The 27,975-nt window shown below is 40.4% G+C and overlaps 1 protein-coding gene and 1 long non-coding RNA gene across 9 annotated transcripts in view, besides 2 other annotated features; one reads left to right on the top strand and one right to left on the bottom strand.

Moving 5' to 3' along the window:
- The window catches only part of SEPTIN11 (septin 11), a 90,403-nt gene that overhangs the window by 45,806 nt on the left and 16,622 nt on the right, over positions 1 to 27,975 (top strand). For 4 of the 8 annotated variants that reach the window (XM_017008401.2, XM_017008402.2, NM_001306147.2 and 1 more), the window contains 7 exons: positions 224 to 381; positions 868 to 982; positions 10,044 to 10,239; positions 16,178 to 16,364; positions 19,299 to 19,460; positions 23,608 to 23,704; positions 24,945 to 25,113. In XM_017008401.2, coding sequence (XP_016863890.1) covers positions 325 to 381; positions 868 to 982; positions 10,044 to 10,239; positions 16,178 to 16,364; positions 19,299 to 19,460; positions 23,608 to 23,704; positions 24,945 to 25,113 — 983 coding nt within the window. In that variant the 5' untranslated portion in view covers positions 224 to 324. The remainder of the gene's footprint in view (positions 1 to 223; positions 382 to 867; positions 983 to 10,043; positions 10,240 to 16,177; positions 16,365 to 19,298; positions 19,461 to 23,607; positions 23,705 to 24,944; positions 25,114 to 27,975) is intronic. The other 4 variants (XM_017008403.2, XM_017008404.2, NM_018243.4 and 1 more) reach the window with 1 other exon arrangement.
- On the bottom strand, positions 19,165 to 27,768 carry LOC105377291 (uncharacterized). Its single transcript, XR_001741734.2, has 2 exons — positions 26,702 to 27,768; positions 19,165 to 25,219 (listed from the first exon to the last, which is right to left on the bottom strand). It is a non-coding gene; the product is annotated as an uncharacterized LOC105377291 (long non-coding RNA).
- Positions 19,718 to 20,250: an enhancer, noted in NCBI's record as "OCT4-NANOG hESC enhancer chr4:77936428-77936960 (GRCh37/hg19 assembly coordinates)". NCBI's record gives its function as "activates a minimal SCP1, AML or CMV promoter by ChIP-STARR-seq in primed H9 embryonic stem cells {active_cell/tissue: H9 hESC(primed)}" and the evidence as "EXISTENCE:reporter gene assay evidence [ECO:0000049][PMID:30033119]".
- Positions 27,318 to 27,937: an enhancer, noted in NCBI's record as "NANOG-H3K27ac hESC enhancer chr4:77944028-77944647 (GRCh37/hg19 assembly coordinates)". NCBI's record gives its function as "activates a minimal SCP1, AML or CMV promoter by ChIP-STARR-seq in primed H9 embryonic stem cells {active_cell/tissue: H9 hESC(primed)}" and the evidence as "EXISTENCE:reporter gene assay evidence [ECO:0000049][PMID:30033119]".

The raw sequence follows: 27,975 nt of genomic DNA on the forward strand, positions 1-27,975 counted from the left end.
CAAACCATAACCATGATATTATAACTGAGGGACTGTAGCTGATCTCTGCATCTTGAGAAAAAAAGGTTTCACAGATTATCTCCAACACCCACGGGATGCATTCAAAGTTGTGGGGGCAGCCAGTACCATTTTATATAACAGCATAAATCACCCAGTGATTTTACTTTAGCTTCCAGCCATATCCTATGTGATTTTAAAATGTATGATAACTACCTTACCCTAGTCTACATCGGTAAACTCTGCAAAACTCCAGCAGTTACAGAGCCTGTGCTAGGAGCTACAGGGTGAAGAGGGGGAAGAAGACTCAAGAAACCTGTAAAACTAATGGAGGAGAGGAAACCAGCTCATGTGCTGAGAAGTTTTAAATATGCTGCATTTATGGTAGGTAGAGCATTGTCATCATTGTAAGGAGTATGAATCCTCCACTGTGAGCTTTTCAAAGTTCTTTTATGTATCTGGAAGAGTGTTAAATATTTTTTCACTATGAGTTGACAGTAAATTGAAAGCTTTTCTTGAATAATGAAAGTGATCAAAATGACTGGAGGTTTTTGTGTTTTTTTGGTCACTTAATGCATATCTGAAATAGTCACCTCTAGAAGCTCAAATTTCCCTGGACCAGTACACTTGTAACAAGGAATGAGATGCTCAGGGAGATGGTCTGCTTTGGGAGACTGTGACTTTTGTGGAAAGAGCTTGGCTTTGGAGTTGTTAGTGCCCTCAGCTGTGTAGAAGCCAAGGCAGCTGTGGAGGGTCTCCTTTTTCCATGTATGTCAAGGGAAGAAGAAGAAAGAATGTAATGTTTGTGATATGTGATATCCAGGTGGCATGGTTCATGGACACTCAAATCTTTCTCCCCTGAAATTGCAGAATGAAGAGCTTCGAAACTTGTCTTTGTCTGGCCATGTGGGATTTGACAGCCTCCCTGACCAGCTGGTCAACAAGTCTACTTCTCAAGGATTCTGTTTCAACATCCTTTGTGTTGGTAAGTTATTCATCACCCCACAGCAAGAAATTTGATCCTTAGATATTGACAGGTAACTGTCGGAGAGACATGCTTCAGTGAAATAAGAATGACATGTTTATTCTCTTTCTTTCATCAGTAAAACAAGGCAAAATATCTGCCTTATACATGTCACAAGTTATAAAGATTGAGAGCTGTATTTAGGTAAATGCGTTGTATGTTTTGTCATGTTACTCAAATTACTATTAGTATTTCTGTCACACAGTTAAGCAACTGATCATTACAATATTGTTAAGATCCCTTAAACATTTTACTTTGGACTAGGCCTCTGCCTTGGTATTTTTCTTCACCCCTCTAGCCATATCTTTTTTTTTTTTTTTTTGAGGAGTCTTGCCCTGTTGCCCAGGCTGGAGTGCAGTGGGGCGATCTTGGCTCACTGCAACCTCTGCCTCCCAGGTTCAAGCAATTCTCCTGCCTCAGCCTCCTGAGTAGCTGGGATTACAGTAGCCACCATGCCCAGCTAATTTTTTGTATGCCATATCCTTTTTGGACTAAGAAGAGGAAGGTGGAAAGGAAGGGGGATAAAGAAAATCAAAATATAAATTTCCTGTTAGTTTGAAGGAGAAGTGTGTGTGGAACAGATGGCTGTTCCTCTCTCTCCCCATCACGCCTGATGAATGGCAGGTGAAACAGCAGTGAAGTGGTTTGGGCTGTGTTGATCTGTTGGCATTGTCCTCTGGGCATTTCCCTCTGAGACATCACTTTGAGACAGATCAAAGAATTCTGTATGTAGCCAAGTGGACTGTCTTTTCCCTAAGCTTGGCAGAATGTGTCAGACTTACTTTTCTTGTCCAAGTAAAGCAAAGAGAATTTAGAAAAGGTGTGTGTTCAATGTGAGAACCACCATTTGCTTATTTGTCAGTTATGGAAGTTGGGGGGAGTGCAGATATTTTTCTTTTTTAAAAACTTCTTGAACTTCTTGATGACTCTACTGCATGTAGCCTCTGTGCTGGGCATTCATTAGTAGAAAGCCACAATTGGCAGGCACGCTACACCAACTTGCTCCCTGGCATTGTATCTTAAGCACTGGATAAGAGAAAGACTGGAGAGAACACAGCCAACTCTCATCTCATGCTTTCCCCTTTTCCCTACGTGAAGCCTTTTAAAATTCAGCAGGAGACCTCCCGAATGGCAGCTAGTTCTACAGAGTGGCGTGAATGGGTTGTCCTTTCTCTCATGATAAATGCTCATTGCAGAGCAGGGCAATTCTTCATTAGCATAGCAATTTGTTGGCAATTTGTTGGGTTTCTATTGAAAAGTATGCTAAATTGTAATCGCAGGCCAATTACTATTCTGGCTTCTCTTCAGTGCCTCCCCAGCCCTGTCTCCAAAATCAGCTCTAAGAACATGTCTGAGAGTTCTGTCCTGGCTCCTGCAGGGGACGGTAGGGGAAAGCCTTCTGGTGGGATCCTGGTTTAACTGGGTATGTGGTGTGCAGTGGGGTGTGCTGGCTGAGGGGCTGACTCCTTGTGTTAAATAAGACAATTCAGATGCTGAATTCCTCAGAGACCAAATTGATGCTGCCCTGTTAGATGTGTAAAGCAGCCCTATTTGGAGTCTCCTGGGTGGGTTACAATACCTGTGATTCTTAGATATTTGTCAGGTTCTATTCTTAAACATGTTTAAAATTAGTTTTTCAAACTAATGAACATAATATATATTTGTTGTTTAAAATGTTATAAAACACTTCCCTTTCATCTCCCACCCCCATTTCCATTTCACAGAGATAACACTGTGGGATCCTTCTAGAAACTTTTGACATCTTTCTGTATTAGGAAATTGCTTTTGGTGGCTTACAGTTCTGTAGGTAGGAGTCCAGTATGGGTCCGCAGGGCTGCATTCCTTCCTGGAACCTTTAGGGAGAGTGCGCGCCTTTTCCAGCTTCTGGAAGCTGCCTGCATTCCTTGGCTCTTGGCTCCTTCCATCCATTCTCAAAGCCAGTCACGTTGCATCGCTCTTTTAGTATTCTTGTGTCAGGAAATTTTCCACAGAGAATTGCAGAAATACAGCTTAAACCCAGTTAAGACTCTCCCCCACCCTCCAACACACACTGAAAAGCTAATACCATGAATTGGGTAATTAAGAGCAGCTGGCTGCAGGGGTTCAACGAGCCCCATCAGGCCTCTGTCTGTGGTTCTTGATCCTGCTTCTGCTTGCTTCACATTCAGGCATTTTCCTCATGACAGCAGTCTGGCTCTGTCAGCATCACCAGCCGAGCAACCTCAGGGGAAGGAACAAGGCATTCCTGACACGTCTCACCAAACAGTCAGGATTTCACTGATTGGCCAGGACTTAGTTACATGCTCAGCCTGGGGGGAAGATGGAGTCAGTTCACTCCAAAACATACAAGGTTCCCCATAGGCAAGAAGACAGGATCAGAAAGGAGATAGGGCTTGGGAGAGAGACACACTGGACAGATAAAAACAGCTTTCTCACAGTTACATAGGTGCTTTCTTGTTTTGCTTTTACACAAATGAGATCATGTTGTTCATCCTGTGCATTTTCCTTTTTTCGCTCCACAAGGAATCCTGGATATCCTTCGTTGTCAGCATATCTAACTCTCCAGGTCGTTTTCCATAACCCTTTGGAGCCCCTTGTTTGGGGCCAGCGTGAGCTCTTTGGGAGATAGGAGTGTCAGCATTAAATATCATCCTCAGAGAGTTGAATATCAAATCCCGTTGCCATACATATTTTATAGCATAATATCTTTATAAGAAAAAACTTACTGTCAATCAATGGTCCATCTATTTTTAAAATAAGAGTCTATAAAAAGTAGATCAAAATATTTGGACGGCCTCGTAGAGGAGGAGGTGTTATATTTAACTTAACAGCATCCATGGTAACTTTTCCTCCTTACTTACTCCCTTCCTCTTACTGCCCATTTGTATTTTTTTGCACAGTATGCACATGTGTGATATTTATAGCGTGAATTTACATTTTTGTGGTAAATATGGGAGGGAATTAAGGATAAAAAAAATAAAATTATGATCCCGGTAAGGAAAATTTTTACCAAAAATGTCTCAGAATTGTAATTTTGTTTTGTGGCGTGAACCTGTAGGTTGAAAGAAAGCAGAGGAAATAAAACAGGGCAGAAAATGGTCCTGGCATGAACTAAGTCTAGTTTCAGAGATAATGAATTAAATGTATGCTGCTAGAACCCATCTCTGTTGGTCCTGGGAAGGCATGTAATAGAGGAAGAATAGTTTTCATTTCACTGGGAAGAGAATTCTGATGTTAAATGAGATAACAGAACACCCAGGAGTTCATCATTCCCCTTCTCTCTGTTTTGCTACAACACACCTAAATCACTCCTGAAGCCACATTTTAGTTTAAATAAAGCCTTTCATATTTTACCCATGCTGTAATTCTCCAGAGAATCTAAATTAGATCTAAATTAGCATTTAGCCTTTTTTCATAATTTTAAATTTGTATGTCTTTCTCATCCATTTTCCAAAATGATACTAACTCTACGAAAAAACCTCATCCACATTGATCCAGCTGTCTTGTAAACATACAAAGGTGAAAATAAGATACTGTAACATCTCTGCTTTTGAAGAAGAACCAGTTTGATAGTAGAGTCAAAGTAAATTAGTAATACATTTTGAAATAGAAAATTTGTCCACAATTCAACCTTAATTGTTTTGAGGGGATGAGAGAACAGGAATTGAAAACAGGTAAGTGTAAGGCCATCTTAGCCAAGGCTATAGTGTCAACATAAATTGTGGAAATTTATAATCAAATCTTAAACATTTTTATCCCGTCTTGTTTTTCCAGGAAAGGATGTAAATGGCTTATAGGGTAAAACGAATGAAGATAAAATTAACCCCAGAAAATAAAGGTGAAGCCAGGGATAGAGTCAGTACTCAAAGTGTGCCATCAGGCCTGCCTATAGCAATTAATTGATGAAGTATTACATTTTTCTCTCAGCTTAGTGGTCAGAGCATGGAGAAAATTTATTAATTCACTCATTCATTAGCAGATATTTAGTGAGCATGTGTTATATGCTAAACACAAGCAAAAAGTTTAACATACGACAGATTTATAGTATCTATAAAGTAAAAACAAAATGATTGCTCCAGATGAAACACAGCTTTACCTGGAAAAATTTCTCCATGGATTTTCAGAAAAGAGATTTGGTGTATGTAGTGGTCTGGGTTCCTGGGCATCCTCTAAGTCAGTGCAATTGTTTAATGAAATGCCAGGTGCCACACGCTGGCTCATCTTATGCCGGAGTATGTTTCATCAAAGGTGATTCTATGAGGAACAAGAACAACGCAACTTAGGTATGTAGCTTTCTGACTCTCTGATTCCATCCAAGAGTAAAATCTAGAATAATTAGGGAAGGCAGGCAGATCCCCATGCACAGTTACTTACTCAAGTAGCCAGTCTTGGCAATTAGAGTGAAAGATGCTGAATCACAGATCAACAATTTGTTCAATCTACCGTTACCTTCTAATTAATAATACAATCCCTCTGTTTTTCCCCCGCCTTGTTCACCTTAGAGCTCGTAGGTTAAATAAGCCTGAGGATAGAATGGAAAAGGTAGGACTGCTTTCCCCTGTGATGTGGGCATCATGTTTACTAGCATTGGCAGGAATAGGAAAAACAGAAGTCCCAGATAGCACTTTAATAAGGTCTCTAATTACTGTAGCAATAGAGTGTTTAGGCAGATGAATTTATGATAAAATAAACAACAAACTCTGAAAAAAATCTATCACAGTGGCATATCTCTGTATAAATCATCACCATGATCATTTTTGTTTTCAATTAACTTTTTTTTTTTTTTAAAGATGGAGTCTCTCACTCTGTCGCCCAGGCTGGAGTGCAGTGGTTCAATCTCCACTGACTGCAACCTCCGCCTCCCAGGTTCAACGGATTCTTCTGCCTCAGCCTTCCAAGTAGCTGGGATTACAGGTGCCCACCACCACACCTGGCTAATTTTTGTATTTTTAGTAGAGACGGGGTTTCACCATGTTGGCCAGGATGGTCTCGAACTCCTGACCTCAGGTGATCCGCCTGCCTCAGCCTCCCAGAGTGTTGAGATTACAGGCGTGAGCCACCGTGCCTGGCCTGCAATTAACTTTTAATAAATGTCTCCTTTGTGCCAGGCATTCTGCTAGGGAGTTTTGAAATACTTTAGTCATTGACTTTTCTGAAAATATTGTTATGGTTGTTTGGTTTGAATTGGAACCTATGCCTAGTAGGCTTTTAGTTATTCAGTTAGAAAGAAATTTTTGTCTTATGGGTCCTCAAAAATATAGATGAGATTCCGCTTACAAAGATTAGAGAGAAGCCTCAAAAACTAATCCCAGTGCTTCAGGAGGCCAAGGCAGGAGAATTGCTTGAGCCCAGGAGTCTGAGACTAGCATGGGGAACACAGTGAGACCCTGTCTGTTAAAGAAAAAAAGCTAATGCATTGAAAAACTTCCCTAGTTCTTCTAGAGTTCCTTTTATTCCAAAAGCTGTCATTTCCTGCTGAACTGCTTTTGGTGAATCACACTGCTGCTGGAGTTGCCGTGTCTAATTACAGCTCTTAAAAGCACAGACCATAGAAATGGAAAGCAAAGCACACCAAAGTTTAGAGGAACAGTGGTTTTTTTCAACCCATTGATTAACCCTGTGCTGTAAGTAGGGCCTGGTATGCTAATTGTTTGTAATTTCCACCTTAATGTAAATGATAATTAAAATTACCATGCCTTTAAAAAGTATGGTGTTCCTGATTCACATGGGTGCTTAAGCAATTTTCAACCTAGTAAAATAAGATGATAATTTCAGTCTTGTCCAGGTAACCTGGAATGCTTGCCATGTAATTGAAGTCTTTATTGCTATTCTTAGGGAAGAAGATGAAAGTTAAGTAGGTCACTTTCTACTGACAGAGCCTTTCCCATGAAGGAGAAACTTTTATAGGGCAGATCTGCTTCTGTGCCTTTTGTGTTCTAAAAATAGGTAAATCCTGAAAAGAAGTTGGCTCTGCTTGAGAATGTTACACTTGTAGCATGTACTTAAAATGACTCAAGTACCTTCGGTATTGACTAGCAGTGAGAACTCTGTTTTATTTCTGTATCCACTACACAGTAACTTTGTTTTGCTCAAAGTTAATTTGTTAAGCCATGAATGGTGAGTGTGAACTTGTTAAACTCTTTCAGGTTAGGGAGCAGAGACTGGTTTTATATTGCTTTTATGGAGGGTTTTTTTTTTTGTAAGACTATTCAGGAAAGTAAGGAAGACAGGAAACCGTCTCAACTGCTGCACAGCCAGACCCCATAGAGATCTGGAATGACATTCAGGATGTTACAAACGTGCAAACAGTGTCAGTGTCTGTTTTTATTCATTACTTCATCCCTGCACCTATGCTTGTCACACAGTGAGCGCCCAAGCATTAATTTCATGATGGATTTCCGATGCTCTACCCCATCTATCTGCTCTTTCCTGTATTCCCAGCCTACATTCTGTCTGCAGCATGGCTTCTGTTTACTTACACAGCCTTTGCTGCCTCATGGTTTCTGCTTACTTACCTCTCTTTGTATATTGTTTCTTTTTCATGCCATCACGCTGTGTGGGGATTGCATGTATCTCATTCAAATACCCAAAGAGAAAAACTGTGATTAGATAGACCACTCTCCAATGTGGAGCCCCAGCTCATAGTGAAATGATTGGGCTTCTGTTGTTGCCTTGAGGTCAGGGACCTAGCCATGGTCTGGTTGTCTGTGGCCAACTAGCAGGGCCATGGATGTAAAGGATGGTCTTGCTTATAAGAGGAAAGCGGTTATGACAAACACTTAGAATGGTGTTCCCATAATTATAAATTAGAGTCTGACTGGTATTATTCAGTCATGTTCTAGACCAGATTCTAAGATGTGGGAGAACACCCTATCAGGCTAGTTTCTTGAATTCTCAGAACTTGGCACAGAACTTGTATATAGTAGGCACTGGAAAAATACTGGCTGAATGATGGTTGACTAAAGAGGAAATTCTGTGATCTTAGATGTTCAGGGACACACAGGAAAGGTTAAAGAGTAAGATGAATATACTTGACCAACTTTTATCCTATAAGTGAATCATCATAGTTACAGGCAAGCCATATAAGGCTTTTCTAATCAGAGAAAGCTCAAATCCAGAAAGACTTCATCCTCCTTCACTTTTGTATTATGTTAGAAAGCAATGAGTATACAATACAGAATTTATAACTAGTAAGTAGATTTTGTCATTATAGTGGGAGGGTTGCCCAGAGCTTTTCTTTTTTCCATAGAACACTACCATCCTTAAAGTCATTATAGCAGTCCTTAGAAGAGGGGATGCTCCTAGGAACATATTGGGATTAGAAGTAGTTGAAAGGGCTGTTCTATATTGGCAAGTTTAAATTGAGCTGGAAATCTAATTGAAAAATTTTCCAGATTAAGAAAGAAAAAAGGTATCCCTAGGGCTAATGTTTCTAGATTTCTACCTGCTTCTCTCCATCATCATATGCTCAGCCACCACCACCACGAACATAAGGCTGTTTTTTTCTCATTGCCAACTGTCTTTGACTCAACAATAAGAATTAGAATTAAGAGAGAATTTGCTTGGTGTTATTTTGAGGGTTGGGCTGCAGTTCTTCATAGCCCCACATTTGGGTGTCATCATGTGATTGGTACAGTGGTTACAGATACCTGCTACTCTGCTTTGCACATGGGAGATCTCAGTAAACACTTACTGAGTTGAATTATCAGTGTAAATAAGGTCATTTGACATCATTTACTTTCATTGTCACAAACTTCACACTGAAGCTGGGAAAACTATCTAAGAAGCCACAAATGTTTGGCTTCTTGACTCCAGCTGGATAAAGAAAAATAAAAACAATATGGAGAGATTAATATAACCATAACTGGAAAATGTTAGGCAGTCAGTTTTCTGTGTAATAGTAAAATCAGGCTGCTGTCTTGGTTGAGTGCAGGTGTTGGAACCATACAGACTTGAGTTAGAACCCTGGTTCCACCACTTAGCAATGACTTCAGGCAAGTTACTCATAAATCTTATCTAAGCCTAGTGTTCCATCTTGAACATGGAGGAAACAGTAGTACCTATTTCATGGGAGTAGTACTAGGGTTTAAATGAGATAATGTAGCCGGGCGTGGTGGCTCATGCCTGTAATCCCAGCACTTTAGGAGGCTGAGGCAGGTGGACTATTTGAGGTCAGGAGTTCAAGACCAGCTCAGCCAACATGGTGAAACCCCGTCTCTACTAAAAATACAAAAATTAGCCAGGTGTGGTGACATGTGCCTGTAATCCTAGCTTCTCAGGAGGCTGATCTGGGAGGATCACTTGAATCCAGGAGATGAAGGTTGCAGTGAGCCGAGATCGCGCCACTGTACTCCAGCCTGGGGGACAGAGCGAGACTCTGTCTCAAAATTGAATAAATAAATACATATATACATACATACATAAAAGAGATAATGCACTAGAAGCTCTTGCCACCGGGGTTGGCACAAAGTGAGCACTCAGTGATGTTAGTGATTATTGTCATCAAGAGTGTTATTTTGAATAATGTAATTCTTTTCTACGACATGGTATCATATTGATGTTGAATTAACTGATCTTTTAGGTAATTCAGTGTAAATGGAATCACTTGTTTCAAGTAACAGAAATTCAACAGTATAGTCTTTTATCCCTTAAGTAATATAGATTTATACTCTAACATTTAGGAGAGAAAGAGACAAAGTTCATGTTCTTGTTCTTGTAATATACAAACTGAGCACAGGCAATCTTACAAGTACAATTTTTCTATTCAGAGGTAAAGAAGAATCTCTTGATCTGTAAATTTGAAATCTCTCTGCTAAATAGTTTCTGAAATTCATTGAGGCATTTTTAGGAAGGTATTCCATAGATTACACATAGAAAGAATTATCTCTTCACAGTGACATTTCTGGTGACAGTTTTTCTTTTTTAAACTTTATAATCATGACTAATAAAAAATACTGATGAATTGAACTGATGTCTGAGAGACATTGACACATTCTCTGATTTTTCTTTTGTGGTTATGTAGGTGAGACAGGCATTGGCAAATCCACGTTAATGGACACTTTGTTCAACACCAAATTTGAAAGTGACCCAGCTACTCACAATGAACCAGGTGTTCGGTTAAAAGCCAGAAGTTATGAGCTTCAGGAAAGCAATGTACGGCTGAAGTTAACCATTGTTGACACCGTGGGATTTGGAGACCAGATAAATAAAGATGACAGGTACATCTTGGGATTTTGGGGGGACATGAATGGATGAGGAGATAGCAGGATCCATCCCAGGTAAATTTAAAGGCCAAATGTTTTGGGGATTTTTTAGTTGTGGGGCTTGGTCCTCTATTGCCTAAAAGGTGTGATATTCTTGTCCTCTGAGAATTTTTCTGAGAATATTCTTCCTTGAGGTCAGAATCAGACATCAAAATTGATCCCAGCTAGTAGGATCAGAAAGGGGCTTTATTAGAGGGACTAAATTAGCTTACAACATCTTTCCACAAAGGCCATGAAACCAGGTTTGGGGCTTTCCTACCAGGAAAAGCAATCTAGAGAAACACCCAGCCACCCTACAGAACAGTTTTAGCAGAAACCCCAGCCATCAATCACTTCATACTGCTTGGGAAGCCAGGACACTAGAGGGGAGGTCTCTAGAAGCTCCACCAAATCTGCCCCAGGTAATCAAATGCCTTCACCATGGCTTGCTATATAATGATAAAATAGTACACTGAGTTTTTATAATGTACCCCATTTATAAACCATGTAAGTTTGGGTCTTTACCATGAGTTATCTTTTGCCCTTATTTGAGGGAAGTTTTCAATTCTTAAAATTTCGTGGCATACAACCCATGTTAGTCTTAGTCTCAGGATTTTGTTCACATTCCTTCTCAAGAGCACCAATTCTGTTCATCAGTCTCAACCTCAGATGTCTTATGACTATTTTACATAGTACATTCATTCTCAAAAGAAGTTTGAGAAAGTTAAAATAAAACTGCCCCAGGTCCAAAGGTGATTGTAGAATGGGGCTTCCAGAAACATCTTTGAGCAGTTACAACATTATGGGCATAAGTGTCTACCTGCTTAGTGTGACCAACATGTAGACATGAACAACAAATCAGTAAGTTAGGGTGTGTTTGCTTACAGCTCAGACACTTTGCTTGTATCAGGATTTTTTCCCCATATTCCTCAAAACTGTATATTATACACATGTGTTTTGTAAAGAGGAACTCGACTATTTTTATCTAGAAATGCCTAGATATATTTTATCTATGCCTGATATAAGTATGAGCACCACAGTAATGACAGATAAATGTTTAATTCATTCTTTAGCTGAGCACCAAGCTCTTTATTTTATCTACAAAGCACTTTAAATGCTCTTCAGTAGACATTGTCCCGTGATAACAGGAACAATTGGTAGATAGAGTGAGAAAGATTTTATTTTGCATACCAAAATGGACTATCTGTACATTGTGCTGGGGCAGGGAACAAGTTCAGCTCTGACACTGCAGCTGAGCAGTTGCTCTTAATATATGACCTCAATGACAGGGAATGATGGAGAGGCCCCTGCCTGAAGGCTGTTTGTAATGCCAAGAGCAGTAAATGAAGAGAAAGGCCTGGTCATAAGGAAAGGGGCACAAGTGCATTGTGGGAGCTGGGAAGAGAGCCGGGGGTTTCAATCATTGCATACTCACAGAATATACCCAGAGCAAGGCCTGTTCTCCATCTCTCAGACTGGTATAGATTTTCTCACTGGCGTTAGGAAAAATCTTGCTTGTCCATTCCTTGATTGGAAGACAGCAACTGTACTTTTTCAGGATCCCTCCCCCAAGGAATGAGAACCATCCTCCACATAGCCTCTTGCTGAGATTCCCTGTGCTCTTCCAGCTCACTGGGGTTGCCACAGTGCTGCCACTCAATTTTTGCCTCTCCCCTAAACTGGGACTTTCCCTCGGGCTGCTGGTGGCTTTTCACTCCCCAATCAGCACTCAGCAGCAAACAGTTAGCACAATGCATATCCTCATATTTGCAGCTGGAGCCCTCCTTAAGAAATTATCTGACTCATTTGGGTCAAATAATAGTTTCCAAGGAGATTTAGAAGAGAGGAAGTGTGATATTAACTTAACCTAGATACCAAATATTTTTTTTCCTCTGAAATTTCTTGACAGCTATTGCATAACCTCTTTAAATGGCACTTAAAACTCTCTGTTACCCTGTGCCTCAGAAGGTATTGTTGACACTGTTGACTGTAAAGCCAAATTACTTGTTCACAAATTGTTATCTGGACAGGCTCTGCCTCCCTCAAGAAACTGGAAGTGGGATATTCATTTCTGCATCAATATATAACCATATGGAAAGGGATGTGGTATTTCTCTATGCCCATGTTGATTTTTACCTACTTTGGGGATTAGGCAAGCTTTTCTGCCATAGATGCAAGACTTCAAGAATGTCCCAGTTTGTTTATGTAGGCTTTGGACATGTCAACATTCCTGTATTATTATCTGCCTCAGACCAGGCTAGCTAGAAGGAGGCAGGAAGAGAGATCTGGTAAGGTTTCCTGTTATGTTTAAAAGCACATTTCACTCTTTGTTATTTAAGGGCTTCCTTGTTTTGGCTGTTTGTACTCTTCAGTGGAGAAAGAAAGGGGCCTGGGGAAGAAGGGAAAGCAAGTTTTGTTGTTCAATTGGAAATAGAATAATTAGTTTGCCCCACACTGGGGAGATGGGAGGTGAGCTGTCCATGGCGTATCACTAGCTGTAATGATAGTTAGCCCTCAAAGGCAGAGATAATTGAAATCCCCTGAGACGGAATTTCAACCTCACCAAATCTTTATCAGAGTTATAAAACAGTAGTGAGATGGACTGTTTGGCCTTTAAATTTTAAGTTTTTAATCACACTTTCTGGTGGAGGTAGTCAAGGGATAAGGAAAATTGGCTAACAGACAGCAAGATAAGGGAAAAACATGGTAAGTATTTGGTCGTATATGAAGTGGAAAGTCAGTCCCTGAATGATGGCATTGGCCATTTTGCAAGAATGATCAGTGGGTAGGTTGGATGGATGGATCACATTGTCTAAGTATCTTTTTCCATCGGTTTTAGGGTTAGCCTCTGTCATTTTTGTGTGTGTGTATGTTTTATGGCTGGAGGTATATGGAAAAAAAAATGAGTGCTGTGTAACAAGGAATATCTCCATGCCTTAAAAGAAAATGATGTGAAAACGTAAGGGCTAGATTGGATTTGTCCTCCTGTCTTTCCTCTGATTGATATGGCCACAATTCAGGGAAGTTTTAATTGGCAAAAAAAATATAAATAAGTGTTAGTAGGAATGGGGCTAGCAAAAGGCTAAGTTGGGATTAAGCTTCCTATCTTTCTCACTTTAGATGGAGAAGTGGAAAGGATTTGGAGGAAGAGGCAGATAATTCATCTCATCTACAGGATGATGATGAGGAGTACAAAACCACTTGGCTGGCTTGAGTCTCATCAAGAAGAAATTATTTCATCAGCATAATTAAATCTTTGACATAGGGAATAGTGGTTTTGGTAAATTGTTGTCCAGGAATACATTTCTTTTTATTGGTTAATAATGGTATGGAAGGTAAAGTAGATGGGATTTCATATTTATTATGTGTATGACATAAGAGAAGGAGGCTCCAGGTTGAATCCCAGGTTTCTGACTTGGCCAGTGGTGTGGGTGGTGGCCCACCATGCTAAGGAATACAGGGAAAGTGAGGGTTTGAAGGCAGGATGAATAGTTCAGTTTTGGACATATTTAGTTGGAGAAGCAGTTGAAAATATAGGATAACCAATTGTGGATGGGTCTGAAGCTCAGAGGAAAGATCTGGGTTGGAGGTAGAGATTTATGACTTGTCATCAGATAGATGGTGAGTGGAACACAGGAATGAGTATGATTTTCTAGAGGGAATACATAGAGTGAAAAGAAGGGAGACTGAATGATTGGCCAGGACTCTCTAATAAGAACAGGTAGAAGGAAGCCTGAGATATTAGAGAACAAAAGATATCTTGAATCCAGTGGGGAAAGCATTCCTCACTGCAAAATGAGTGTTGTTATGCTTCTCATTATCTTTGGAGGATCAGAATCAAAACCAGAGGCAAGAAGGGAAACTAATAGAAAACAGAACCATATTTGGACTACTATTGAGAGGAGGAGGTGCTAAAAGCTAAAAATCAGACACAGGGGAGGCAGGGGAGCAATTGCTGTGAGCTGCTTCTCTTACCCTTTGGGATAAGAGGCTGCTGGGGAAGAGCCCTAATCCCCAAATCTGCCTCAGTGTCAGGAGACAGAAGGATCAGCCCCAGACTCAAAGGGCAAAGGGCATGGGTGGACCTCACTGGAGTGGCTTGCTCTACTTCCCTACTGGACATGAGCTCCATAGCAGAACAGATAACCAGCAGAGAACTGGGTGAATGTAAAGTTCCTTTTTTTTTCCTTAGGTTTTTCTAAAAAGTCAGGCTTGATTCTATAGTGGTGGTTGTTTATTATATAATTATGAAATAGTTATATCTGACTTTTATGTGCCAGCCCTTTACATGTATTGCATGTATTGGCTCATTTATTTGTCACAATAGCTCTCTGATAGAACTACTATTTTTGTCTCTGATTTACCTGTGAGGAAATTGAGACACAGAGAGGTTTAGTGACTTGCTTAAGGCTGTGCAGCTAGTAAGTTGTGCGGCTGTATTATGGTTTTAGGCTTGAATCCATGTTTCTAACCACCATCCTCTATAACTATCTCATTAAATATTATTATTATTATGCAATATATGTCTATATTTCAAGATTAGAAAATATAGAAGAATCTTATTGCTCATTCATTCTTCTTATTGGAATTTTGCCTGTCATGATTTGGAACTTTATTATTGCTGAGGTACATCCTACCTTTTTTTTTTTTTTAAAGCCTCTAGAGATTTTGTCTACTCTAATTGAACCAATATATTGTGATAAAATCACCAAAGAAAAATATCAAAAAGCTTTTTATGACTGCTTTCAGTTTTGCTCATAAGTTTGTTTGTTGTTATTGTTTATTTTGGGGATGTTTGTTTTTCTTAGGATGTCTGCGTCATTTTTATTATAAAAGATTTGTGGTTCCCTTTCAAGGGTTTCAGTTTAACTTATGGGTATGGGATTTGGGTGTTGAAAGGTTTTTATTTTTCTTAAAACTTGTATCTTCGGAAAGGCAATAAAGTTTGGGGAGAATTAACTCTTCGTATTCCTAATAGAACAGTCTCTTTGTTGCTAAAACGAACTTCTTCTGAGTAGTCCCTTTGGAGACCAGAAAGAATTAGTGGGTTTCCCACAATGACCTAATATACTACTTACTTCCTGGACATGTGGTTTATGGAATGTGTATCCCCAATATGCTATTAGTCATTGTGTTTATGGTCAGTTAATAGGATTACACATAATTATCCAAAACAGATTTGAATGATTTGGTGAGAAGAGAGGGTTACGACATTTACCTTTAAATCATGAAGATTTTGAGTTGAAAGGAATCTTGAAGATCATAATAGTCTAGGCGCCTCAGTTCCTAGATGAGTTATGGATTATGCACAGGGCTATGGGAGCACAGACAGCCCCCATCTCTGGAGGAATAGGGCAGATGACCAGGGAATAGCTCGCAGTAGGTGGTGGTGTCATATCCTGAAACCACACACCAGTTTCATTTTGTGCACCAGTGGCAATCAGTAGGGAGAGGCTATCACAGTCACTTTTCTGAGATGGATTTTTGAGGCCCAGTTTTGGCCCAGCAGGAAAGAATGCCACAGTCTCTTAGCAATATCTTCCACGGATACCCCTTGGGGGAGTGGCAGTCAGCTCCACGTATGTACAGTCTCTGTTTTAGAGGATGAATGTTAGCCAGGAGAAGAGTAGGAAAAAGACAGGTTTCTCGCAGAGGGGCCAGCGTGAGCAAAGACACAGAGGAAATAAGGGCTTGACATGGGTGGGGGGCGGGCTGCTACAAATGATTGGGCGTGGCTGGGACAGGAGAGGTGAGCCTGGAGCGCTGTTCAGGGATCAGGTGATGGAAGGCCTGGATACCTAGGTAAGGACTTGGGCTTTAGCCCTTAGGAGAGAAGAAGCCATTGTGATGTTGAATGGAGGATTGTCCTGTGAAAGAGGTTTGAGACTAGAAACATGCTGTTTCTGCATTCTAGCTATAAGCCGATAGTAGAATATATTGATGCCCAGTTCGAGGCCTACCTGCAAGAGGAATTGAAGATTAAACGTTCTCTCTTCAACTACCATGACACGAGGATCCATGCCTGCCTCTACTTTATTGCCCCTACTGGACATTCACTAAAGTCCCTGGATCTGGTCACCATGAAAAAGCTGGACAGTAAGGTACTTGCTGCCATTCTGATTATCATCCACTCTCCTTTTAGATCTTCTTTATCCTAATGCCCTAATTTGTTCTCTGCTTTCAGTGTGATTTTTTTTTTCCTGGATTACAGGAACAGTGTTTGACAGCATGAGAAAAACGCTTCAAAACCTCTTGCCTGTTAGACAAAAATAAAATAAAACAAAACAAAACTAGCAAAAAAAAAAAAAAAAGTCAAGTTGCTTTCCAGGAAGTATTTTTAATTCTTAAATGGGAGGTTGAAATATAACTTCCAGGTTTGTTTACTTTCTTAAAAAAAAAAACTTTCTCTAAAAGGTGTTTAGAGGTTTGGTTTTAATTCAAAGTTTACAATGGAATAAAAGGTTAAATTTTTGTCTCTGTGATGATAATGGTCCAGCTTCTTCAATTTTAAAACTGAACTGCACATGTGTGTTCAAGTAAAGCAAAGTCTTAATTTCAGTGTGATCCCTGAGCTTGCCACATTTATACCTTCTCTTTTTCACAACACATGAAGGAAGAGACTGGTAAGTTTGATAAAATTTTGCACCTTACTATATATTAATTAGACTTTCCATTTTGAAATAAATAGAAGACAATACATTCTGAAATAAGGATGAAACAAATGGCAACAAGAACAACCACAAAACTAAGCTGTGGATGGTATTTACCGTTAGATTCAAAACCCCTTTTGCATTCACAGAAAAGTCTTATCAGATGATAAAGCTCTTTAGAGGACTCTGCTGGGTGTTGTTACTATGATTTTATCTAAACAACACTGATAAAGATGCTGTCTCTCCAGAGGGACAAAACAGTGAGAGAATGCTCAGAAGATCAGCCTGTCCCCAAGGCCTCTGTCTCAACTGTCCTTTAAAGGGCTGGAGAGGCTGAAGCCAAGCCAGGCTCCTTTGGCTTCCAGCAGGCACAGACACAGTAGTTTACAGAAAAATCTTCTAATGGCCTGGAAGGATCACTGCAGCTAGAGTACTCTTCGCAGAATAAATAGAAACCCTCCTTCATCCCATCTGATTCCTCAGCTCCCTGGGAGCTGTGCCATTAGCCATGATAGTGGAGAGATCACGGGCAGTGAGGGCCGCTTCCGGGTCTGTTGTGTCCTTGGAAGCAGGGGCAGACCTCCCTGTTCTCAAGAGTGCCCCATTCTCCACAGACATTCTGAAGGAAGTAGAGTGAGGAGGCTTCCTAATCGAGGGCTGAGTATGCAGACCCAGCCGGATAATATCCAACACTATTATTATGTTTAATAGAGTTCATTGAAAACGGAAAAGAAAAAGGCAAAACAGGCACAACTAATAAAAGCAAACAGTCAACCATAAAGCAGGTTAAACTTTCAAAGAAGTGATATTGTTGGAGAGTTGGAGAGCTAGCTAGCATCTGAAAATGATAATATCAAAGTTTTATTTATACAAGTAAAGGGAAGGGTTAAGCAAATGTATGGTCATTTCAGAAAAGACTTTCAAGTCCGGCTAGTGAGGAAAAAGAGGTTTTAAAACTAAATTGCTTGATTTCTCTATCTCCTCTGATCAATTTGGCCAAGAAAGAGTGAATCTCTGCCATTTTGTCTATGTTGACATTAATTAAATACTAAATGTGTATCAAAGATAGCCAATAAGAACAATAGGAAGTTTCTTGTTCCTCTGGTCCTGATCCAAACATTTCCCCCACCATCAATGATGTTTTTCTTAGTCTGCAACTTGCTGGAGGAAGCCCAAGCATGGTGAGCTTAGGAGCAGGTTGAGGAATAGGTTGAAGAATAGGTCTTTCTCTCAGCATGTCATCTCATTCGGGTTTATCAGGATTTCTAATTTGGCCTTTGGATAAAAGGAGAAGCAAAGGCATGCAGATGGGACCTGAACACCTCCCGAAAGACTCTCTGTTCCCTGGCTAGGACAGCTTCCTTACCGAGTCTGTTTTCTCTCACCTGAACTGGGTGAAGATCATAGTTCTATATATCGGATGTCAGTAACGTCTTATTGAAACCTGTGTTTACAGGGATTAGGGGAAAGTTAATCTTAAAATGCGAATTTAAGAAATGTGTCCTGTGCACAGGGCTGGGGGCAGCCGGGGAAAGAATGTCCACATGGGGTTTGGAAGTTGTGCTCTGGGGTATCCTTGGCTCCCTTTCTGGGCTTCCTGCCACTAATGTCAAATTCTGAGTTCTCCCCTGTTCTTTGTAACTGATGCTGTGAAAGTGAGCCTTGCCTTTGGCGCTCGATTTTATTCTGGCATGAAGGAGTAATTTGATGGAATTACTGATTTTCAAAAGAATTAGTTGGTGTGATTTTGAAAAATTTTACAGTGGGCAACACCATTTTTGTTTTGGCTAATACATAGGTTCTCCTCTCAGCAATTTTCAGGTCATCAGAAGAAAGAAAGGATGTTGGGCTGCATAGAACTGAATACTCCACTGCTCTTACAAAAACTTTGCTGTTATACTGTTAGGAGGTGCGAACTCAAGAGCCTAAAGTAGATGGGAGGGGTCTAAAAGGAGTGGTTGGTCATTCAAAGAATAAGTTCCTTTGTTATCACTATTTGTCATAGAAGAGTAACACTTCCTTTACTCTGTAAAGAAAAATGAGGTAGCATAGGAGAGGAAATTACAAGTATACTTTCAGTGCAGGATGGGAGGAAGTAAAAGTGTTTGAATATGGAACTAAAAGTTTATCTCAGGTCTTCTTAATTTTTCACCTAGGTAGAAAGTCTGATTTTCATTATCATCTCTACCCCAAAAAAAAAAAAAATTGTAGGTACATAGGAGGCGTATATATTTATGGGGTACATGAGATGTTTTGATATAAGTAGGAAACATCTTTATTTTTTACAGTAAGGTTTTGCAATTTTTATTTGTTTGCTATGTTTTATTCACTTGTCTATTTTTCTTATGTTGGAATTGTGTAAAAATGGACGTGTCTGTTTTACAGGTGAACATCATTCCAATAATTGCAAAAGCTGACACCATTGCCAAGAATGAACTGCACAAATTCAAGAGTAAGATCATGAGTGAACTGGTCAGCAATGGGGTCCAGATATATCAGTTTCCCACTGATGAAGAAACGGTGGCAGAGATTAACGCAACAATGAGTGTAAGTCCTCAAGTCAAATGGGAACAAGTGATTTTTATGAACGCCTGTCTTAGTAGCAGCATTGTAGAGTGGCTGGAGCACTGGACTGACTAGGAACCTGATGACTTCAGCTGTAGTCCAGCTTTGCCACCACTTCAAGTCATTTAACCAGTCTGCTCCTCCGTTTCTCCATCTGTCAAATGGGAGCTTTAGACAAGATGATCTCAAATTTCCTTCCCACTCTAACAGTTACGATTTCTACAGCAAATCTTGTGAGAAGGAAATGCCAGCCCAGTACCATTTCATAAAAAGCAGCTCAAAGGAAATAGATCTGTGCTTGTTTCTACCAATCTTGGCAGAAATACATTAGCTTGTCCCAATTTTGCTTTGGTGATTGGATCCTGCCCTTCCCTCCTTTCTATTTTCCCTATACTTTTCTAATCATTAGGTAAACTGGCAGTTGAGGATACAATTTCCACATCACAGAGAGGAACTAGTCAGGTGATAAATGATTAAAGTGACAGTGGTTCCCTGTGTGATTGTGATGTAATCCCTCCTGGTGAGTCTCCATCCTGCCGGTTGATGCTCAAGTCTGTTTCACTACTCTTTTGTGTGTCTCACAGCCCATAGCTCAGCTGTGAGCTGCAATGACTCTGCACATCTTTTTTTCCCTTTGGGAATGCATAACATCCATGAAAGCCACATGCTTTGCATATAGTGGAGGCCCAGTGATGGTTGTTGGAATTCAAAGTAGTAAAGGCTCTAGAATTGTTGGAAGAATCTGGAAAGCAGATTCTTCCCAGGAAATAGGCATGATGGGGTGTGAAAGGAAGGTTGCCACAAGGGAAAATGGCTAGACTTGTGCAAAAGAATGAATGGACAAAAGATCACCAAGGGGTTTTGGTCCCATTACGAAGTGAGTGTTTAACTAGTAGAGCCACTGAGATGGAAGATACACCTTACTTCTTGGGAAGTAGTGAGTTCCCATCGCCAGTGGTTTGTAGATAACAGACCCTGTTTCAGTCCACTTGGAAGAGATACTGTAGCAGGAATTCTTAAGCAGGATTGAACGTATAATAAGCAAGATCTCTTCCACCTCTAAAATTCTCTGGTTGTGGGTATTGAGAGCTACATAATAATAATAGCACCTGACATTTTTCACATTTCTGGAGCATTTACTATGCACCAGGAACTGTTCAAGACTTTCCATTTAATCCTCACAACAGTTGCATAGGTAGGTGCTGTTATTATTCCTCCCTCATATATGAGGAGACTGCAGCACAGCACCTAAGATTGCATGGCTGTGGGTAGTGGAGGTAGAATTGGAACCCAGGCTTTGGCTGTCAGGCTACACTCTCACCCTGTGTACTGCCGCCCGAGCAGAGCAGTGTACCATCAGCCTCGGCATCCATGGATTTCACCAACCATGGACCAAAGATATTTGGAAAAAAAAAATGCAACAATAAAAACAATAATACAAAATATATATATATATGTGTATATATATAGCATATATATATATTTTGTATTATTGTTTTTATAATATATATAGCATATATATTATATATGCTAAAATATATATATAGCATATATATACACACACATATATATATATACACATATATATATATATACACATATATATATATATATATATATACACATATATATATATATATGGCCAGGCACAGTGGCTCATACCTGTAATCCCAGCACTTTGGAAGGCCGAGGAGGGAGGATCACTTGAGGCCAGGGGCTCAAGACCAGCCTGGTCAACATAGCAAGAAAATAAAAAATAAATTCTACAAAAAAAATTTTTTTAAATAGAGTATAATAACTATTTATATAGTGTTTACATTGTCTTAGATATTATAAGTAATTTAGAGATGATTTAAAGTATACAGGAGGATGTGCATAGGTTATTTGTAAATACTATACCATTTTATATCAGAGATTTGAGCACCTGCAGATTTCAGTGTCCATGGACAGTCCTGGAACCGGTACCCTGTGGATACTGCAGGAGGTCTGTACTTTTTTATAGGAAGGTCAAAATCTCAAACTGAGATGGCACTCCTTTATTCTGCTGTAGAACTGTAATTTGGGATGTCAGTGTGGGATTCAGGAAGTATCATGAATGACTGCTATGTAATTTTTCTTTATATTCCTATCCTTCTAGATAATTTTTCATTATTTTCTAGTCATGGAACTATATCTTTGTTAAACTTATTGGAAATAAAATACCCAAGAATTTTTGCTCTCTTTCTCTCTTTATCAGATTAATAGAACTGAATCTCTGACATTCCAAATTAATCCTGCTCTTTAAAGAAATTTTCTTTTAGGCTCTTCATTACAAACTATTCTTGCTGATCAAATTCCACGTAATGTCTGAGGAAAACAGATTCCACTGGCAGTTGCTTTTGTTACATTTGAGTGGAGAAATTTCCTTGGTCATTACACCAAAATATTGACCAGAAAGGTCCTGTTGCTCCTCAACTTCAGGGGAAACAATAGGGTTCAGGTCTGAAACTCAGACTTGTTTGAGAAAGATAATGTGCTTTCTTTCCTTCTTAGGGTGTGAGATGAACTAGAACATTTCAATATCTTGAGCGTCCAACAAAATGCTACTTGGGCAATCTGAGCCAATGATTATGCCAAGTTCTTTGTAGGAGAGGAATTGGCTTGAAAACTTTATCTTCTTTCTCAGTGTATCTATGGTGGAAGAACACTGGATCAAGGAACTCTAAATAATAATTCTTGGAGCAGCTATTTCAAATCTTATTCTTACATGCTAATAGAAAAAAGATAGGATTATTATTTCCTCCCTCACTCAGAATGCAGTGATAACTACCAAATAAACCAATGTGAAAGAGTCAGTTGTCTTGGACACCATCTCTACTTCAGATAAATCTGGGTGCATAGCTTGAGCCAGTAATTTGGGCTAAAGTGTGTTTCGGACTTAGAAATTTGTGCAATAGTCAACTGTCTAAAGCAGTGTTGTTCAAATAGAACTATAATGTGAGACACACAAGTATTTTAAAATTTTCTAGTAGCTACCTTAAAAAAGTAAAAAGAAATGTGAAATTAATTTTAAGGACTTAACCCAATATGTTGCAAAATATAATTTCAACATGTATTCAATATAAAAATTATTAGATATTTTAGGCTGGGCACGGTGACTCACGCCAGCACTTTCGGAGTAATCCCAGCACTTTCGGAGGCCAAGGCGGGCGGATCACAAGGTCAGGAGATCGAGACCATCCTGGCTAACACGGTGAAACCCCGTTTCTACTAAAAATACAAAAATTAGCTGGGCATGGTGGCCGGTGCCTGTAGTCCCAGCTATTTGGGACGCTGAGGCAGGAGAATGGCGTGAACCCGGAGGGCAGAGCTTGCAGTGAGCCGAGATCGCGCCACTGCACTCCAGCCTGGGCAACAGAGCGAGACTCCATCTCAAAAAAAAAAAAAAAGATATTTTAATGTAGGTCTTTGAGATCCAGTGTATATTTTACAATGACAGCATATCTCATCGTGGACTGAATTTTCACCAAAAATATTTTATCTGTATTTACATTTTGTAAAATTCACAGCTAAAAAGTTAAATTTACATACAGGTTTCTCCTAACATACCTTAAAGATTTTCAATATGAAATAAGTGCCAAAAAGATACTTTATCTTTAATCTTTGTGTCTACCTTGCCATCTACCTTGGTCTTTTTCAGAAGATTTGAGTTTGAAGCAAAGTGAAATGCAGTTTTGCCAAAACAATAAAGTTGCATTTAATTGAAAAATATTTTACGTTGCTTCCATTTTAAATTTAGATGTAAACTAATTAAAAGTTAGATATTCAATTTCTTGTTCCTACAAGCTGTATTTCAGGTGCTCAACAGTCACATATAGTTAGTGGCTACTGCATCGGCTAGCACAAGTCTTAAGCTTACTTTATAGTTGCAAAGACTCATACACTTTTCCCTTGAATCTAGCTCGTGTCTCATACTCAGTGTTTGGTTATAAGGGGGGTGGGATACGTGACATCCACCCACCAAACTGCAGCCTGCTTTTCCCTTGTCACCAAGTAGAGGCCTGCAGAAGGAGGGAGAAGATAGAGACTGGTGGAAACCAGTCTGTCAGAGCAGGGGAAAGTAACTATTCTCTGTCCTTTTGCTTGGCAGGTCCATCTCCCATTTGCAGTGGTTGGCAGCACCGAAGAGGTGAAGATTGGCAACAAGATGGCAAAGGCCAGGCAGTACCCCTGGGGTGTGGTGCAGGGTATGTGCACAGCATGGGAGATGGAGTCTTCATATTTAGCCCCTATGTGAATGGCCGTGTTTGTTCATTTTCCGTCTTGTTTAGGGAGGCCCTCAACAGTGGGCTGGCAGTGGGAGGGAGTGGTGGGGCTCCACATGTGACAATCGTGGAGGTGAGGAAGAAAGAAAAAGTAATCAGCTAGGTAGACAATGGAGAGACATGGCTGCCAAGCCCTTGAGGTAACCCCTCAAGGATGCTGGGTTGTGTAGGGAATTAATATAAAGTCCTGATTGAAAAATAGTTCTTCCCTAGGAGTTGGAGCTCGTTTCATCAGCCAAGTATTAAAAAGCAGCAAAAAGTTTCTTGCAAACAAGAGGGTACTTTTTTCTCCATCAACTATGCAAAAAATGTCTTCTAATAAAATGTTATCTTAGTAAATCTGAGACTTAGGAGAATATTTGATCTATATTTGGCACTGTGGGACATGGCCACAGTCTAACCTGAAAGCTTGTCACGTGTGTCACTTTGAATGACAAGGACTCTATGACCTACTCTTATGTTCTGAAGGAGGACATCCAGTGCTATGGATTAAGCAGGATGGCTAAAGAAAGTTCTTCGCTGGTTTAAGATGTATCAGACCTCCTTTTCCTCTGTTTTGAATAAAGGCAATAAAGCTGTGAGAAGAAACAGTACCTTTGAGATCCCTGGGAAAAATACAATTTTTCTTACTCTTACTAATTTCTCTACAATAAGAAAACTCCTTTCTTCCTAGTGTTGTTGATAAAATTAAATGAAGTGGTATGTAAAAGTGGCCCTGCACAGTTATAGACAGCATGGAGTGGTACAAATACATCTGGCTTTGGGCCAGATGTTCTGGCATTTGAATCTAGACCCTGCTACCTCTCTTTGGGAGGTCAGCTTGCTCACCAAGCTCCTGCGTCTGCAAAGCAAGAGTCATGACATCTAGTTGGCAGAGTTATTATGAAGGGTAAAGACAATATTTGTTTTCAAGCTCCTCCCTCTGTGCTCTGTGCTGAGTAGGCACTCAGCAGTCAGCGTTGTCATCAGTATTATGGTCAATGTTGTCAGAAATCTTGTCTTCGTCAGGAATGTAAGGTGAATCCAGTAAAGGATCTTCAGATGGTCTTGAGACCCCAGAGATTTCAGGAGTGATGGTAATAACATCTTGGAAGCATCACTGCAGATATTTCAGTGACATCATTGCTAATCCCACTTCCGCCATTTCCCCCCTCTCTTGTAGTTGAGAATGAAAATCATTGCGATTTTGTGAAACTTCGAGAGATGCTGATCCGCGTGAACATGGAGGACTTGCGAGAGCAGACTCACACCCGCCACTATGAATTGTACCGACGCTGTAAGCTTGAAGAGATGGGGTTCAAGGACACTGACCCTGACAGCAAACCCTTCAGGTATGAAGGCATCTAGCAATCAGGTGTCTCCCAGACAGTGGCGAGAGTGGCATGGTGGTACATCACAGAAATGCTTGCTGGATTGAGATGGTGATGATGGAAGGATCTGGTGGGTGAAGATTAATACATATGTTGTCAGGCATTGTGATAATTGCTTTATTTGCATTATCTCAACTAACTTACCTAGTTGATGTCATTATTATCCACATTTTACAGATGAGGAAACAAAGGCACTGAAAGTGTAAACAAACTGCCCAAGGTCCTCCAAGTAGTAAACAATGGTGTGGTGTTGAGCTCTTGCCATCTGGGTCCTGAGCCCAGGTTTCTGCCAGTTCTCTTGCAGAGGTGCAGAGCCTGGTCGATATATTTACAAAGGTGCGGCTGCTGATTACAGTTTGCCCCATTCATTTTTGCCAAACACCTTTAACTTCCGGAGGCTCTTCCTTTGTCAAGCACTTTTACTATTAGCTTTCAGTGGTTCGGTAAAATTCTAACAACAAAGAATCAGGAGGAAAGGAGAATAGCTTTTAGGAGATCTATGTATTTTCTTATATCACTGACGGGTGGAGACGCAAAATGTGAAGGGGAGAAATGGATGTAGAATTAATATCCTAGCCGAAGCCCAGACCCCGTCAGAATCCAGTGGTAGGGATAGGGCTGGCAAGGCTGGGGTGCTGTTGCCCACACCGTAGTGAGTCATGGGGTGGTTCTGGGTAAAGTTGTGGGGTGAGGCTGCCAGGCCAGGTTCACCACCTCCTGGTCGAGGAGAGGATTGTCCAGATGGTGCCCAAGCAGTTTTCTTTCTTTTTTTTTGTTTGAGACGGAGCCTTGCTCTGTCACCAGGCTGGAGTGCCTCGGCCTCCCAAAGTGCTGGGATTACAGGCGTGAGCCACCGCGCCTGGCCCCCAAGCTGTTTCTTAATGGGGATTTGAATTCAGGTGGTGTGAGGTGTGTCTGGGCTCTGTGCCTTTACAAACTGAGGGCCATAGTTCCTTGGGGAAAAAAAACCTGTCTTTCTCCTCTTTGGCCTACAACACACTCTGATGTCTACAAGCTGGCTGACAATAGAACCGGAGGCAGCCTGTGCACAGCAGATTCTGTCCCCGTGGGTCTGTAGGAGGGAGTTTATTTTCTTGCAATTGCTTTAGAGATAGTTTAGGAATGCCTGGGCTTGTCGCCTGGCACTGTGCTGCTGAGGAGTTCCATGAGCATGTGTGTATGCAGTGAGAACAAATGCAGAACCCAGACAAGGGGCATACCAAGAAGTTAACTTCTAGCCAAGATTGCATCATTCACTTCTGCCCTGACGGCTTGCAAAACTGACCATCTCCAACCATGTGAAAGTCATGTTCTGAGGCGAGGTGTAGGACACCTTTTTGTGTACACAGGTTTAGCTAATTGAACCTTGAAATGCATTTACCAGAAAATAATCCTTACAAAATCAAGTCCACTTTATGGTTACTAAACCTGATGAAATGGTTTCTGTGTGGGAAAGGCCGTCTTCAGTATTACATAAAATATTTGTTTTCATGCAAAGAGATATGGAACAAAAGGAACTGCCATAAAATTGAATTCATTTTCCCCTCACCTTCATTCAAATCCAGACAGTGTTGAAGAGCACTGGGCTAGGAGTCAGGAGTTTGGGTTCAGTTCTTGGTCCTGCTACGCTACAAGTTCTTAACCCATCTGGGCCTGAGTTTCTTCATCTGTGAAATGAGGAGCTGATCCAGATCAGGGAATAATTAGATCCAGTAAAAAAAAATTTTTTTCCATACTGGGTTAGACAGTAAATATTTTAGGTTCTGCAGGCCAAACGGTCTCTGTCACAACTATTCAGTTCTGCCCTTGTCGTCCGAAAGCAGCCATAGACCATACTGTAAATGAATGGGCATGGCTGTGTTCCGGTAAAACTTCATTTACAAAAACAGATGGGGGGCCAGATTTGGTCCTCAGGCTGTAGTTTCCCAACCCCTAGACGAGATCATAACTTGGAGCCTGTGAACTGCCTGCAAAAGTTAGAATGCATGTGACTGCTTCTTGAGTTTGTTAGAGGTCATTTACCTCCCAAAGTGTTTTACTTCTCAAAATGTTCAGAGCCATTTGGCATAGTTGTGTTTCTTTCAACTCAGGAATCTGTGGAATTTGAAGAGTCTATGATGCTATCCTTAGCTATCTACACCACCAGGAAGGGCCCAGTGGCCTAAGTTTGCCACTTAGGTCTTTCCACCATCTTGACTGGGTTCCTTAGGATCCCTGGGAGCCTGGGGATTGTGAGGATTTCCTGCTGCTGCAGACGCACAGCCTGCTAAGTTGTCTGTGTGGCCAGCATTTTAATTAAGGCATTTCCTGCAAGCCCAGAGTAACTGCCCACCAGGAGGAGGTGGAGCTGGGTAGGCCCAGCAGGGCTTCTGCAAGGGACAGCTGCTGGGCAAGCCCACTGCTTTGTTCTCCCTGTTTCAGGGGCTTCAGGATTGGTGAGGGATATCACCGAGGCTGCCTGACGCTTAGAGAGCATGCTTTATCCATGTCTCCCCTCCCCACTTGGATCCATTTCCCCTGGCCTGAGTTTTGCTTTTGATGATGAAAAGGGAAAATGTATACACACACACACACACACACACACACACACACAATATATATATAAAATAATATATATTAATTATATCATATATTACTAATATATGATATAATTATATAATAATATATAATATATACACATATAATATATATACACACACATATATATTACCAAGGCCTTTACTTTTTTCCATATATAAGAAAATTAGAAAAAAGTGGACCTTCTAAAAATAAATACCTTCCAACATCTCGATAACTGGAACCAGGTTTTCCATTTCAACTGGA

The sequence above is a fragment of the Homo sapiens genome, chromosome 4 (assembly GCF_000001405.40).
Source record: "Homo sapiens chromosome 4, GRCh38.p14 Primary Assembly".
Taxonomy (NCBI): domain Eukaryota; kingdom Metazoa; phylum Chordata; class Mammalia; order Primates; family Hominidae; genus Homo; species Homo sapiens.